At 39.4% G+C, this 14,687-nt stretch overlaps 1 protein-coding gene across 14 annotated transcripts in view; it reads right to left on the bottom strand.

Moving 5' to 3' along the window:
- Positions 1 to 14,687, bottom strand: part of AOAH (acyloxyacyl hydrolase) — a 211,554-nt gene that overhangs the window by 154,202 nt on the left and 42,665 nt on the right. For all 14 annotated transcript variants that reach the window (NM_001177507.2, XM_011515334.3, XM_017012102.3 and 11 more), the window contains one exon: positions 6,801 to 6,867. In NM_001177507.2, coding sequence (NP_001170978.1) covers positions 6,801 to 6,867 — 67 coding nt within the window. The remainder of the gene's footprint in view (positions 1 to 6,800; positions 6,868 to 14,687) is intronic.

A 14,687-nucleotide genomic window follows, 5' to 3' on the forward strand; every position in this document is an offset into this window, starting at 1 on the left:
TTTCAGTTATTTGTGGTCAACTGTAGTCCAAAAGTATTAAATAAAAAACTCCAGAAAGAAACAACTCATAAATTTTAAATTGCATGCTGTTTTCAGTAGTGTGATGAAATCTTGCACCATCCCACTCCATCTCACCTGGGATGTGAATTGTTCCTTTGTTCAGCATACCCATGCTGTATACACTATCTACTTGTCAGTCACTCAGTAGCCTTCTCAGTTACCGGATTGATTGTCACCATCTCACAGTGCTTATGTTCAAGTAACCCTTATTTTACTTGATAACAGCCCCAAGGCACAAGGGTACTGTGCCTAATTTATAAATTAAACTTTGTCATAGATATGGGTGTATAGGAAAAAACATAGTATATATAGGATTTGGTAACTTTTATCCATGGTTTCAGGCATCCACTGGTGGTCTTGGAACATATTTCTCACAGATAAGGGAAGATTACCATATGTCTTTACTGATTTTCTGTTGGCTGGATCTGTCCGTTTCTGATAGAGGGATGTTGAAGTCTCCAACTACAATAATAGATTCATCTATTTATCCTTGCAGTTCCATCAGTTTTTGCCTCCCATATTTTGATGCTCTGTTTTTGGTGCATACATATTAAGAATTTTTGTCTTATTGGAGAACTGACCACTTTATCATTATGTAACTCTTATCCCTTTATCCCTGATAACTTTCCTCACTTTGAAGTATGTTCTGTTTCAAATTAACATGGCTGCTCTTTCTTTTGATTAATGCTAGCATGGTATAGCTTTCTCTATCTCCTTTTAATCTATATTTATCTTTATATTTAAAGTGAGTTTCTTGCTAGACAGCATATAATTGAGTCTAATTTTTTGATCCACTCTGACAATTTCTGTTTCTTAGTTGGTGCATTTAAACCATTGACAGTCAAAATGATTATTGATATAGTTAATACCTACCATATTTGTTACTGTTTTTTATTTGTTACCGTTGTTCTTTGTTTTTATTTTTGTTTTCTACTCTTTTTCATTTCTCCCCTGCTCCCTCACTCCTACCATCAGAAACATGAGAGGTTTTTGTGTGTGTGTGTGTGTCTCTAATAACTACTATGAGAAATCAGTTGAACTCTTGGAGGTAAAACTCACAAAAGAGTGGGTGGGCACACCCCTATGACTTGGTTCCCCTGGAATTTTTAACACAGTCTTGTCTACGTCTAGCTCCAGCAATTTGTCTATTACAGTACAGATTATCTTTCTTTAATGCTGGCTCCTGTGGCAATTTTTGCCCTGGAAAGTTGTGATTCTCTGTATCCACCTGTTTCTCCCCACTTTCGGAGGCAGCTGCTTGCCCAATAATCTTACTTCTTTTGTTGTTTGTTTGATTTCTTGGAGGCAGAGTCTCCCCCTGTCACCCAGGCTGTAGTGCAATGGCGCTATCTCAGCTCACTGCAACCTTCGCCTCCTGGGTTCAAGTGATTCTAATGCCTCAGGTTCTAGAGTAGCTGGGATTAGAGAGGTGCACCGCCACCCCCGGCTAATTTTTGTATTTCTAGTAGAGACGGGGTTTCACTATGTTGGCCAAAGTGGTCTTAAACTCCTGGACTCAAGTGATCCACCTGCCTTGGCCTCCCAAAGTGTTGGGATTACAGGCGTGAGCCATCACACCCAGCCCTGATCTTACTTCTCTTAAAGATCTATGAAGTATTGTTGGTTTTTCAGTTTGTTCAGCTTTTTAACCTGCTGTTAGAACAGAGTGGTGACTTTCAAACTTCATAATGTTGAACCTATCACATTTTCATTTACTTCCTTTTACTACCTTTACAGCTATAGAAGTGTACAGAGTGCAGCATGCAGGAAGGGCAGGGCTTCAACACTTTGGCATAGCCAGCTAATTGATTGCTTGAATTAGAATCATGGTAGAATTACAGTCGATGATGATGACCATCGTTATCATCATAAATCTAAAGAGGAGCAAGGATGACCACATGGCAGAGTAACAGAGCCTGTGGCAGGGTTAGGGGAATAGAGCCTTTTTCACTTGAAAGTGCTCATATTTAGACCTGTGACATTACTTTCAAAGGAGGTTTTATATACAAATTGTAGTCACAGAGATCCCCCAGCAGAACTGGAAGATCTTCTTCATATAACTTAATACTTTTATCTTGTTTCTAGGTCACATCCTTTATAGTGTACTAGAATTTAATTATTTCTATAAATCTTGTAATTATCTTGGGAATAACAGAATTATATTCCCCCCCCACCTTTTTTTTTTTTTTTTTTTAATTTAAATGGAGTCTTTCTCTGTTGCCCAGGCTGGAGTGCAGTGGCATGATTTTGGCTCATTGCAACCTCCACCTCCTGGGTTCAAGTGATTCTTCTGCCTCAGCCTCCTGAGTAGCTGAGATTACAGGCACTCACCACCATGCCTGGCTAATTTTTATAGTTTTAGTAAAGATGGGGTTTCACCATGTTGGTTAGGTTGATCTCAAACTCCTGACCTCAAGTGATCCACCCGCCTCAGCCTCCCAAAGTGCTGGGATTACAGGCATGAGTCACAGAGTGCAGTGGCTCTGCCCTGTATTTTTAATGCCTCTCCCAAAGCCATTAATTACATCTAAGGTATACCATAATTGTTATCAATTCTGTTTTGCATTTTTTTCTTAAAACTGTTAGTAGTTTATGCCTGTCCTGATCTCAGAGAGCTCCTGGGCTTAGGACATAAGAATTTGTGATTTAGAGAGAAGCATAAATAGATACCAGAAAGCAACACAGCCAGACAGAGACCAGAGTCAGGCTTGCTACAGGAATGGAGAGAGCAATGGCGGTCTGAGACACACAGAGGGGACCCAGCTGTGTCACTGGCTGGGATTGAGCTGCCCCCTGAAGTAGCTCCTCCCTGCATGACTCAGGTTCTTAGGGGAACCCCTGAGTTCTCAGGTATCCTTTTTTTGTTTTTTTTTTTTAACATCTTGTGGCTCTGCCTGTAGGAAGGAAATGTAATTGCTGCACAATTAGTCCATGAATTATTGAGAACTGAGTGGTGTGAAATAATAAGGAAGGATGCCCTTTGGGTTAGAAAATACATTTAATATTGGAAGACTGATATTCAAGTAAAACTAAATCATGAGGTTGTCATTTTCAGGCTCTCCATCAATCTCGAGCTGTGTCTGATGGCTTAAAACAAGCTGTATGAAGAACATGCCCAATGAGGAAACATTTCTATCAGCTCACAACTAATACACATAGGAAATTATGGACAAACAAAACACATGGTGGACAGAACCACGAAGGTGGGATCAGACATCTGTTATTTATTCATTTATTACATCTGTGGTTCTTCAAAAGTGGCCCACCTCATGCTAGCGAGAATTAGTCTCTTTATTAGAAAGAAAAATGTGATTCGGGCTGGAGTGCAGTGGCGTCATCTCAGCTCACTGCAACCTCGGTCTCCAGGGCTCAAGCGATTCCCCTGCCTCAAGCTCCCGAGTAGCTGGGACTACAGGCGCGCGCCACCACACCCGGCTAATTTTTTTTGTATTTTAGTAGAGACAGGGTTTCACCATGTTGGCCAGGATGCTCTCGATCTCCTGACCTCGTGATCCGCCCGCCTTGGCCTCCCAAAGTGCTGAGATTACAGGCGTGAGCCACCGCGCCCGGCCCGCTGGTCCCATTCTTTCTCCATACCTATGCCCGCTTGTCTCTTGTACAGTTCACATGCTGTACAGTTTGCATCTGCAGTGATGAGTATTGTGTCTGTCCTTTCTCTGATCCTTGTGCTTCACTGGTTCTCACACTCACCACTCTATAGCCAGGTACAGAAGAGCAAGTTGTGTCTGAATTACCCAGGCCACTTCTCGGTAACTCCCAGCACACTGCTGTTGGGAGCTGCTCTCTGGCACCCCCTTTTGGACATTTGCATGTATTGCCCCCTTTGAGTTCTGGGACTTTTCAGCTTGCTGATCTGGTTCCCTGATCTAGGCTCCTACTAGGTGTATAAATAGATTCATCAAATAGACGAAAAGGGTTTCTTTTTTTTACTGTTTTCATACTTTTAAAAGGCTTTCTTCACAGCAATCTAGTCATGGCTCATCTGTAATCATACTTTTTTTAAAAAAATTTATTAATTCAACAAACACTTATTGAAGACTTTCCATGCTTAAGTATTACACCTGGGCCTGGAGATACAAAGCTCTCTCCTTTTCCCCCCAACTCTTCCTACCTCTTTTTCTTACTTTCTTTTTTACTTTCATAAACATATAGTCAGTATTTTGCTAAGTACCTGCAGATAGATGCAAAGATGAATAAAATGTAGTCCTAGCCCTCAAACTGTTTTCCATCTAGATAGCAGCTTAGAAAAGTAAATGGATAATTCAGTTACAAACAGCTGTGGTAAATGCCATGCTACGGGCTTGCACAGGGTATTAGGAAAATGCGTGCATGCTCATGAATGTACATGTCTGTATGAGTGTGCATGTGCTCATGCGTGTGTGTGTATGTGTGTGTGCGTGTGTGCATCTGTGTGTGTGCACGTGTTTGTGTGTGTGTGTGTGTGTGCCTGTTTGCCTGTGTGTATAGGAGTGGGTTCATAAGATTTGTTTGGGGTAGAGGTAGGGGGTAGAGGTTTTGGATGTGCCAAGCTGAGTGAACATCTCGTACAAAGATCCTGAGGCAGAAACCTCCTGGTGTGTGGGGAGACTACAAGTGGTTTGAAGTGTAGTGTGCTATGGAGTGGCAAGGGGTGAGTCTGGAAATGCCCTCAGAAACCAGTTCCTGATGAGCCTTGTGTATGGGGCTAGGAGTCCTCCAGAGGATGTGAAGACTTCGAATAATTTTACGTTAAGGGAGTACCATAGTTAGGTTTGCATTAAAACATACTAGTCTAGCTATAATGTAGATTATGAAATTGCAGGGCAATGGGCAAGTTTGTAGGCCTGGAGTCCTGTTAGGAGGCAGTGGCAATAATAGTGGCACTAGCTAAGAATAAAGGGTCCCTGCCTTCCAAACACAGCCCAGGGGTTATGAAAAATTGTTTGCCACAACAGAGCGAGATCGCTATTAAGAGAGGCAGATGCACAGTATGACAGATTACTGATGACCTCCCTGCCTGTATGATTTTAAGTTCCTTCTGTCTTTAAAATGTTGTAGACTCTAGGCTACCCTGTTGTAGAGGGGGGATGCTGTCTTGTGAACATCTCTGCTGTAAGGCTAATGGCCCCTTGAAGAGGAATCATGTAAGGATGTTCCTAGGAACCAACCCAAATGCCCATCAATGATAGACTGCATAAAGAAAATGTGGCACATATACACCATGGAATACTATGAAGCCATAAAAAGGATGAGTGCTCGTCCTTTGCAGGACACGGATGAAGCTGGAAACCATCATTCTCAGTAAACTATCACAAGATCAGAAAACCAAACACCACATGTTCTCACTCATAAGTGGGAGTTGAACAATGCGAACACATGGACACAGGGAGGGGAACATCACACACCAGAGCCTGTCAGAAGGTGGGGGAAAGGGGAGGGAGAGCATTAGGACAAATACCTAATGAATGTGGGGCTTAAAACCCAGATGACGGGTTGATAGGTGCAGCAAACCACCATGGCACATGTAAACCTATGTAACAAACCTGCATGTTCAGCACATGTATCCCAGAACTTAAAGTTAAAAAAAAATAGAATGTTCCTAGGAGTACTGTTCACAAGAGTTAAAACCAGAAAGCAATTAAACATATAATTTATGTGTAATAAATTATAAAATGTTTATAATAACATGTATTATATGATAATGAATGATTTATATTTGTATATTTTATACATAATAAAACTATAGAAAAACCTCCATAATTTTTTTTATAGAAAGCAGAAGAAGGATGAACACGGAATTTAGGATGATGCTCACTTGGGTGGGAAAAGCCTGAGAATAAAGGGGAGGGACCATAGGAGCAGAGAAAGTTATGGTCAAGGTCCTAGACTGTTTTGGGTGGTGGGTTCAGGAGCTTATTTCAGTATTCAAAGTAACTAAATAAGAATATAAAAAGTGTAAGACAGCCATGTATGGATCATTGATGAGAGACTGCCATGAACTGAGAAACAGGGCTTATTTGATTCAGTGCCCTGAGCTCAAAAAAAGAAAAATAGTAGCTGGGCCTGGTGGCTCATATCTGTAATTCCAGCACTTTGAGAGGCCAAGGTGGGTGGATCATGAGGTCAAGAGTTTGAGACTATCCTGGCCAACATGGTGAAACCCCATCTCTACTAAGAATACAAAAATTAGCCGGTGTGGTGGCACATGCCCGCCGTAATCCCAGCCTCTTAGGCTAAGGCAGGAGAATTGCTTGAACCTGGGAGGTGGAGGTTGCAGTGAGCCGAGATCACACCACTGCCCTCCAGCCTGGGCTACAGAGCAAGACTCTGTCTCAGGAAAAGAAAAAAGGAAAAAAAGAAAAACAGTAAAAGAAAAAGCAGACTGTGATAATGCGAGGAGCAAGGGCTGGGAGTAGGGAGGCGGAGAGAAGCCAGGAAACCAGCTAAGTGGGGAGAGAAGATGTGGCCTGGGAATCCAGGGAGGCGGAGAGGGCTCAGGAGAAAGGTTCAATCACCCAAGTACAGGTTACCACACTGTAATTCAAGGGGAGCCTTTGCGTAGAGTGACGAAGGATCCAAATTAGGTTCCAATTTTCCACTATTACTAAGAGCTGGAATAACACCTCGAGCCCTGTCCAGAAAGCGCATCATGCTGAACACAGAGCCTCCCACCTCCCAGTTTTCTTGTTCCTCCCATGTCCCAGCAATGGAATCAGAGTTATGTGTCATGGCATACTCACAGTTTTATGATGTCTGATCCAAACTTGTCAATGACTAAATAGCAGGTGGTTTTCAAGAACAGTTTTTCTAAAAAATATAAAGAGGGAAATTGAATATATTTTTATTGCGACGAATTTAACACACCTTAATAATGATTATCTTTGCTAGGAACTGAAGCTGAGTGATTAATTTATGATTAATTTAATTTTAAGGATTTGAAGGAAATGTTTCAGCTAATGTATGCATTAAATATCACTTCTATCTCAGGTTTATGTGAATGCCACCTAACCGTCCAGGTTAAAGATAACCAATTTATTCTAAAAACACAGTTTAATGCTGGGTTTTCCTTTTCGTTCATTCTTTCTTTCTTTTTTTTCTACAGGGAATACCTGAATGTTGGCTATGACCTCATTTGTTGAAGTTGAAAGAAATGAGACTTGCATTAGTCAATCATCTGAAATGTAGCTCTGTTAGAAATGGTCTTTTCTGGTGTTTATTCAAAGGAAAATACTTCACTTGGGGTCCTTAGTTTTTGCTGTTGTTATCCCAGAGGTAAAAGGAGATGACAGTTACAGGTGATCCTGCACTGCCACCTTCATCACAGGACATAGATACACTCCACACAAATACTCCTACTAACAACATAATCTCCCCTGACCTATGAGAGCACATGAATGTTTTGTGAGTTCCTCTATCCACCCAATGAAACTTGTTAGCTCTTTGGTCCTGTTTCTCCAGTTTGTGAGTCTATTGTGGAGCCCTGGTAATTCAACTCAGGATCTTAGCAGAGTTAGGGACAGATCAGCTGTCCTGGAAAGAGCTAGAAAACCCTGATTAAGGAGAATCTATCTTGTCATGATGTGTCTCACATAGGGGGGCCCGGGCCTTGCTGGATGATGGAGTGGTGAAACAAGATAAATATGGGAATGCTCCCTGGTACTTCAATTTTGCTTAATGTTAAATAATGTGAAATATTATTTTTGTATTAAAATAGATCTATTCTATGACTTTTTAGACAAAAAAGTACGAGACTTTAAATACACTGTGCTCGGCTGGGTGCAGCGGCTCACGCCTGTAATCCCAGCACTTTGGGAGGGCAAGGCGGGTAGATCGCCTGCGGTCAGGAGTTTGAGACCAGCCTGGCCAACATAGTGAAACCCCGTCTCTCCTAAAAACACAAAAAATTAGCTGGGTGTAGTGGCAGGTGCTTGTAATCCCAGTTACTAGGGAGGCTGGGGCAGGAGAATCGCTTGAACCCGGGAGGTGGAGGTTGCAGTGAGCCGAGATCGTGCCATTGCACTCCAGCCTGGGCAACAAGAGTGAAACTCCGTCTCAAATAAATAAATAAATAAATTGTGCCTTTGAAGTAGGCAATTAAAACTGTGTCCTCACATTATGAGTGACCTTAAAGAAATAAAAAGGATTATAATGGAATGTTATGAACAGGTGCATGGCAATAAATTAGGTAACTTAGATAAAATAAAAAATTCTTAGAAAGACACATAATGCCCAAATGGACTCAAGAATAGACAATTTTAAGAAACATATAACAAGTAAAGAGATTGAATTAGTAATTAAAAACTTCCCACAAAGGAAAGCCTAAGACCAGCTAGCTGCACCAGATAGGATTCATTGGCAAATCTACAAAAAAGTTAAAGAATTACTAACAATTTATCAAGAATTCTTCCAAAAAATGGAAGCAGAGTGACCATTTCTTAACTTATTTATGAGGTTAATATTACCCTGATACTAAAACCAGAAACCTTCCTCCGAAAGAATGTAGACCCAAATCTCTCATGAATATAACCACAAAGATCCTCAACAAAATACTAGCAAATAAGATCCAGCAATACAGAAATTATACACCATGATCAGGTGGGATTTATCCCAGGAATGCAAAATTGGGTTAACATCTGAAAATCAGTTAATGTATTACTCCCATATCAACAACATAAAAAAAACCATATGATTATCCAATATAGGCAGAAGATATTTGACAAAATATAACACTGCTTCATGATTTTATTAGGAATAAAAGGGAATGTCCTCAACCTAATAAAGGTTATCTACAAAAAACCTGACAACTTACATGATATTTAGTGGTGAAAAATTAAATACTGTCCCCTCACTATCAGGAAAATATAAGAATATCTGCAGTCACTACTTTTATTCAACGTTATAAGTTCTAGCCAGGAGAATGAGGCAAGAAAAAGAAATAAAAAGCATTCAGATTGGAAAGTAAAGATGTAAGACTATCTTGTGGCTGATATGATCTTCCATGTAGAAAATCCTAAGGAATCTATTAAAAACTATAAGAACAAATAAATAAGTTCAGTAAAGCTGCAGGATACAAGATCAATATGCAAAACCAATTGTATTTCTATGTAGCAGAAGTGAGCAAATAAAAACTGAAATTAAGGAAAACAATTCCATTTACAGTAGCATCAAAAAGAACTAAATTCTTAGGAACAAACTTAACCAAAAAAAGTGCAAAATATATACTCTGAAAACTACATTGTTAAAAGAAGTTAAAGTAGACCTAAATAAATGGAAAGACATTCCATATTCATGAATTGGCAGACTTAATATTGTTAAGAGGGCAATTCTTCCCAAACTGATCCACAGATTCAATGCCATCTCTACCAAAAACCTAGCTAACTTCTTTGCAGAAACTGAGCAGCAGATCCTAACATTCATACGAAAAGTCAAGCGACTCAGAACACCAAAACAATATTGAAAGAGAAGAACAAGTTGGAGGACTGACATTGGGAAACAATTTCAAAGCTAGACAGCTACTGTAATCAAGATAGCATGGTATTAACATAAAGACAGACATATGGATCAATGAAATAGAATCAATAGTTCAGAAACAAACCCTAACATTTAGTCAAAAGTGCAAAGACCATTTCATTGGAGGAATTTAACAAATGGTGCTGGGACAACTGGACAGCCACAGGCAAAAGAATGAATTTGGACACTTACTTCACACTATATACAAAAATTAACCCAAAACGGGTCAAAGACCTAAATGTAAGAGTGAAAACCGTAAAATTCATACAAGGAAACACTGGCATAAATCTTACTGACTTTGGGTTAGGCAACGTTTTCTTAGATATGACACCAAAAGCACAAGCAAAAGAAGAAAAAAAAAACAGAGAAACTTGACTTCATTAAAATAACAATAAGTTTTGCACTTCATAGAACACCAACAGAAAGTAAAAAGACAGCCCACAGAATGGGAGAAAATTTTTGCCAATCATATATCAAATGACCTATCACAGTGCTAGAATATATAAAGGACTATTACAACTCAATAATAAAAAGACAAATAGTCCAATTAAAATATGTACAAAGAATCTGAATAGACAGTTTTCCAAAGAAGATATACCAATGTCCAAAAGCCACATGAAAAGATACTCAACATCATTAGCTACCAAGGAAATGCAATTCAAAGCCAAAATGAGATACAACTTCATGTCCACTATAATGTGCTATAATAAAAGAGAGAATAATATGTGTTGGTGAGGATGTGGAGAAATCAAAAGCTTGTACAATGCTGATGGCAATGTAAACTCGTGCAGCCAGTTTGTAACCAGCCTACCAGCTCCTCAGACTGTTTAACATAGAGTTACTATGTGATCCAGCAATATGATCCAGTTTATATATGATCCAGCAATGTGATCCAGTTTATATATATATATAAACATATGTCCACACAGAAATGTGTACACAAATATTTATAGCAGCATTTTGCATAATAGCCAAGAAATGTAAACTCCTCAAATACCTATCAGCTAATAGATCAACAAACGTGGTATACCTATACGATGCAATATTATTCAGCCGTAAAAAGTAATAAAGTTATAATACATGCTACAACATAGTGAATCTCTAAAACACTATGCTAAGGGAAAGAAATCAGTCACACAAGACCAGATATTGTATGATTCCATTTATATGAAATGCCCAAAACAGGCAAAGTCATAGACACAGAAAGTAGATTAGTGGTTTCTTAGGGCTGGAAAGAGTGGGTGTTTGGGGGCGGATGCTAAAAGGCATGTAGTTTCTTTCTGGTGTAATGAAAATGTTCTAAAATTGATTGTGGTGACTGATGAACACGCAACTCTATGACTGTACTGAAAGTCACTAAATTGTACACTTTAAATGAGTGAACTGTACAGTATGTGAATTGTAGCTTAATAAAAGTGTTTAAATACAGATTCCCTCTCCCTTGGGATCCTTTTTAGGGGTGCTACTGTGGAGAGGGTCAAGAAGCTCTGATGTCACAGTATACTCAGAGACCTGCATTTCATTCAGTACCAGCCCACTGGCTTCTGGCCTTGGAGAAATTGCCTCCCCTTTCTGGACTTCCATTTCCTCATCTGAAAAATGTGGGTGTAGGATTTGGTCTCTATCACTATAATGTCTGCTAAGTTTGGGGACTTTTGTAAGAGATATTCCAAATTAAATGAAGGAGCTTTGGAAAAAAGTTAAAAGTACTGCTAATGCAGAACTGGCTTAGCCTAGAGCAGAGCAATTTAAAAATGGACATTAGGGTGTTCTTTGATAAAGTTCTAATACTGGCTGAAAGGCAGAGAAAATTCATCTTCTTTCTGGTAAGATAAGCAGTGTGTGTGTGTGTGTGTGTGTGTGTGTGTGTGTGTGTGTGTGTGTGTGTGCGCGCGCGCGCGCGTTAGAATTCTGTTTAGCTCAAGTCAAAGAGGATGGCTGCAGGTTCCTTCCTCCCTGAGCAGAACCATTTGAATAGTTTCCGGTAGTCTTCTGTGATTGTTAGCTTGAGAGGCCCCTGGAGCAATGGCTGATATGGGACAGGAAATGCTCTCTGAGAGCTAAATTCTGAGAGCAATCCGTAAGGGTACAAAGCAGAAATATGCAAAATCTCCAGAAAGAGCCAGCTATCCCCAGTCAGCCATGATCAGATGGTAACCTGATTGTTACTGATACACCTGAAGAAAAATTTGGCATTTACATATTGACAGTAGCTTAGCTAAAGTAAAAATTATACTGTTAAACTCTGCCTGTGACAAGGATCATACAAGAGTATTTAATTTCTACAGATTAAAAGAGACTTGGAACAGCATAGGAAAAAAGAAAATGTGGCTATTCCAAAGGACAAAATAAAGTTAAAATAAGACCAATTAAGTAGTTATCATACATTGGGTGTATACAGATGTATGTGTAAATAAAACATAGGACATTCCAATTTGTAAGTTACCTTCATGTTTACCATCACTTCCTTTCTCATAAGAATCTTTTCTAGTTCTAGATCCCTGAGGAATCACCACACTGTCTTCCACAATGGTTGAACTAGTTTACATGTACCTTAGAACTTAAAGTACAATAAATATATATATAAAAAATAAAAATAAAAAAAAGTATTGAGGCCTCAAAAAAAAAAGAATCTTTTGAGGGGGTAATTATTTTTATCCTCATTCTATAGACAAGAACATTAAGACTTAGAGAGCTTAAGATCACAACATAGCAAGTGGTTCAGCTGAGATTAAAATACTCCAAAAGGTCTTGTTATTTGTAGTATACATTTCAATGTGCTTAGGACATTTTATTTGATGCCTTATCTACCTCAAGTATAGCAGATATTGTTATACATTATTATATGTATAATATGTATACATTATTATATGTATAATATGTATACATTATTACATATGTATAATTATTATATACAAACTTGAAGCACAGTGCCACCAAGGGACCACATAATTATTTTTTTTTGAGACGGAGTCTTGCTCTGTCCCTAGGCTGGAGTGCAGTGGTGCAATCTCAGCTCACTGCAACCTCCACCTCCAGTGTTCAAGCAATTCTTCTGCGTCAGCCTCCTGAGTAGCTAGGACTACAGGCACATGTTACCACGCCCAGTTAATTTTTGTATTTTTAGTAGAGATGGGGTTTCACCACGTTGGCCAGGATGGTCGTGATCTCTTGATCTTGTGATCCGCCCGCCTTGGCCTCCTAAAAGTGCTGGGATTACAGGCATGAGCCACCACAACCGGCCAACCACACAATTTTATAAGTACATATTCTGGGATGCATTCAGACTTTCAGAACCTCCAGAGTAGGCATGAAGTGCCTTCTTTCTTTTAAGACTACATGAGTTTTTAACAATTATATTCCACAGAGATAAAATTTCTGCATAGGTGACCCAGGAAAGTGAACTTGTAGCAAGACTCTCAGGGCATATGATTCTGTTGACCCCTGACTAGTGAGAATGATTCCATTAATCATTTTCCATTAACAATTCCGAGATTCTTCCAAGGTGCTTCCTAATGAGAGCCAGAGGCAAAAGCAGTGGATGAAACTGAGGGTCAGAAATGCTTTGCACGATTAGAAAAAAACTGTCTTATAGGGCACAGGGAAAGGCAACATGATTTACTAAGAGATTATTCTCAAGAATGGTGCTTACGCGATTTCCCTGCTAAAACTTTGTTTTTTGTACTTTTTTAGCTTTGGAGGTGAAAGTAATACTTCACTGAAAAATAATTTAAAAATAATTGTGTGTTTATGTGCTTAATTTCATATCCTTCTGTCCCCCATTCACCTGGCCTACCAGACAGAAGGCAATGCAATATTGGATCCCAGTAGGCACTGTGGGTCAGGCCTATTATGTCTTCCAGGAGAAATCCTTAGCTAGGAGAACGTCTATCTTTGCCACCCCATACAACTGACATAACCATTCTGTTTCTGTGTCTTGTTTTTCTCATCCATAAAATGGAAGCAATACTGCCCATGGTGTCCTTTAACCTGAACTGAGTGTTCTATTTTCAGCTGGAGGTAAAACAAGAATTGATAAAATGAAAATAACTCCCAATAACCTTCTTAATCCTTTAAAATTGCTCCAGTTGAAAAGGCAACCCATCACTGAAAACCAAAATATTTATCCTGTTTCCCTTGGTGAGATACCGGTTTCCACTTCACCAGAATCTGACTTTCAGCCTCTCACTTGATCTTACCAGGCTCTGACATTTCCTGTTCGAAGTCAGAAGAAGCTAAGATGGTACCTTGAACCAGCAATCTTGTTTTGGGTTGTTTTATATTTTGCTAGTATATTAAGAAGAGGGAATAATCTAGGAAATAGGATTTTTAGTCGGTCGTTCACCTTCGGACGACGCAACTTTGCCAAAAAAGAGAACATCTAACTTGAGGTTATACCTGCCAATGCTGTCTATCACACAGAAAGGCAACCAGTTAAAACAAAGCTTAATGATAACTGTGACTGTTCTTCACTGTTTTCCTTCTGTAAAATAGTAATAATATTTTTCTTCTTCTTCTGTAACTCGGAGATGTGAAAATACAAAGTAAAGCTTATAACAAATTGTGAATGTTCAATAGAGGAATAAACAAATAAAATATAGAACTTATATGGTAAAGAAGTATAGAGTAATTAAGAGACTTGACCTAGGCCTATATGCCTTAACATGTATAGATCTTAAAATCATGTTGCGTGAAAAAAAAACTTGCTGAGCAACGCATACAGTAGACCATTGATGTCAAATTAAAGCCTTCGCAAGGGAGGAGTATGGAAAGATGGTGGTGGAGGCAGCAGAATTTTGAAATCTCTTTGAATCTCTACAAAAGAAAAAGGAGTGTAATCCCAGCACTTTGGGAGGCCGAGGCGGGCAGATCACCTGAGGTCAGGAGTTAAAGACCAGCCTGACCAACATGGTGAAACCCCGTGTCTACTAAAAATGCAAAAATTAGCCAGGCATCCTGATGGGTATAATCCCAGCTACTCGGGAGGCTGAGGCAGGAGAATCGCTTGAACCCAGGAGGCAGAGGTTGCAGTGAGCCGAGATTGCGCCACTGCACCTCAGCCTGGGTGACAGAGCAAGACTCTGTCTCCAGAAATAAATAAATAAATAAATAAGAGT

Source organism: Homo sapiens, chromosome 7, assembly GCF_000001405.40.
Source record: "Homo sapiens chromosome 7, GRCh38.p14 Primary Assembly".
Classification (NCBI taxonomy): domain Eukaryota; kingdom Metazoa; phylum Chordata; class Mammalia; order Primates; family Hominidae; genus Homo; species Homo sapiens.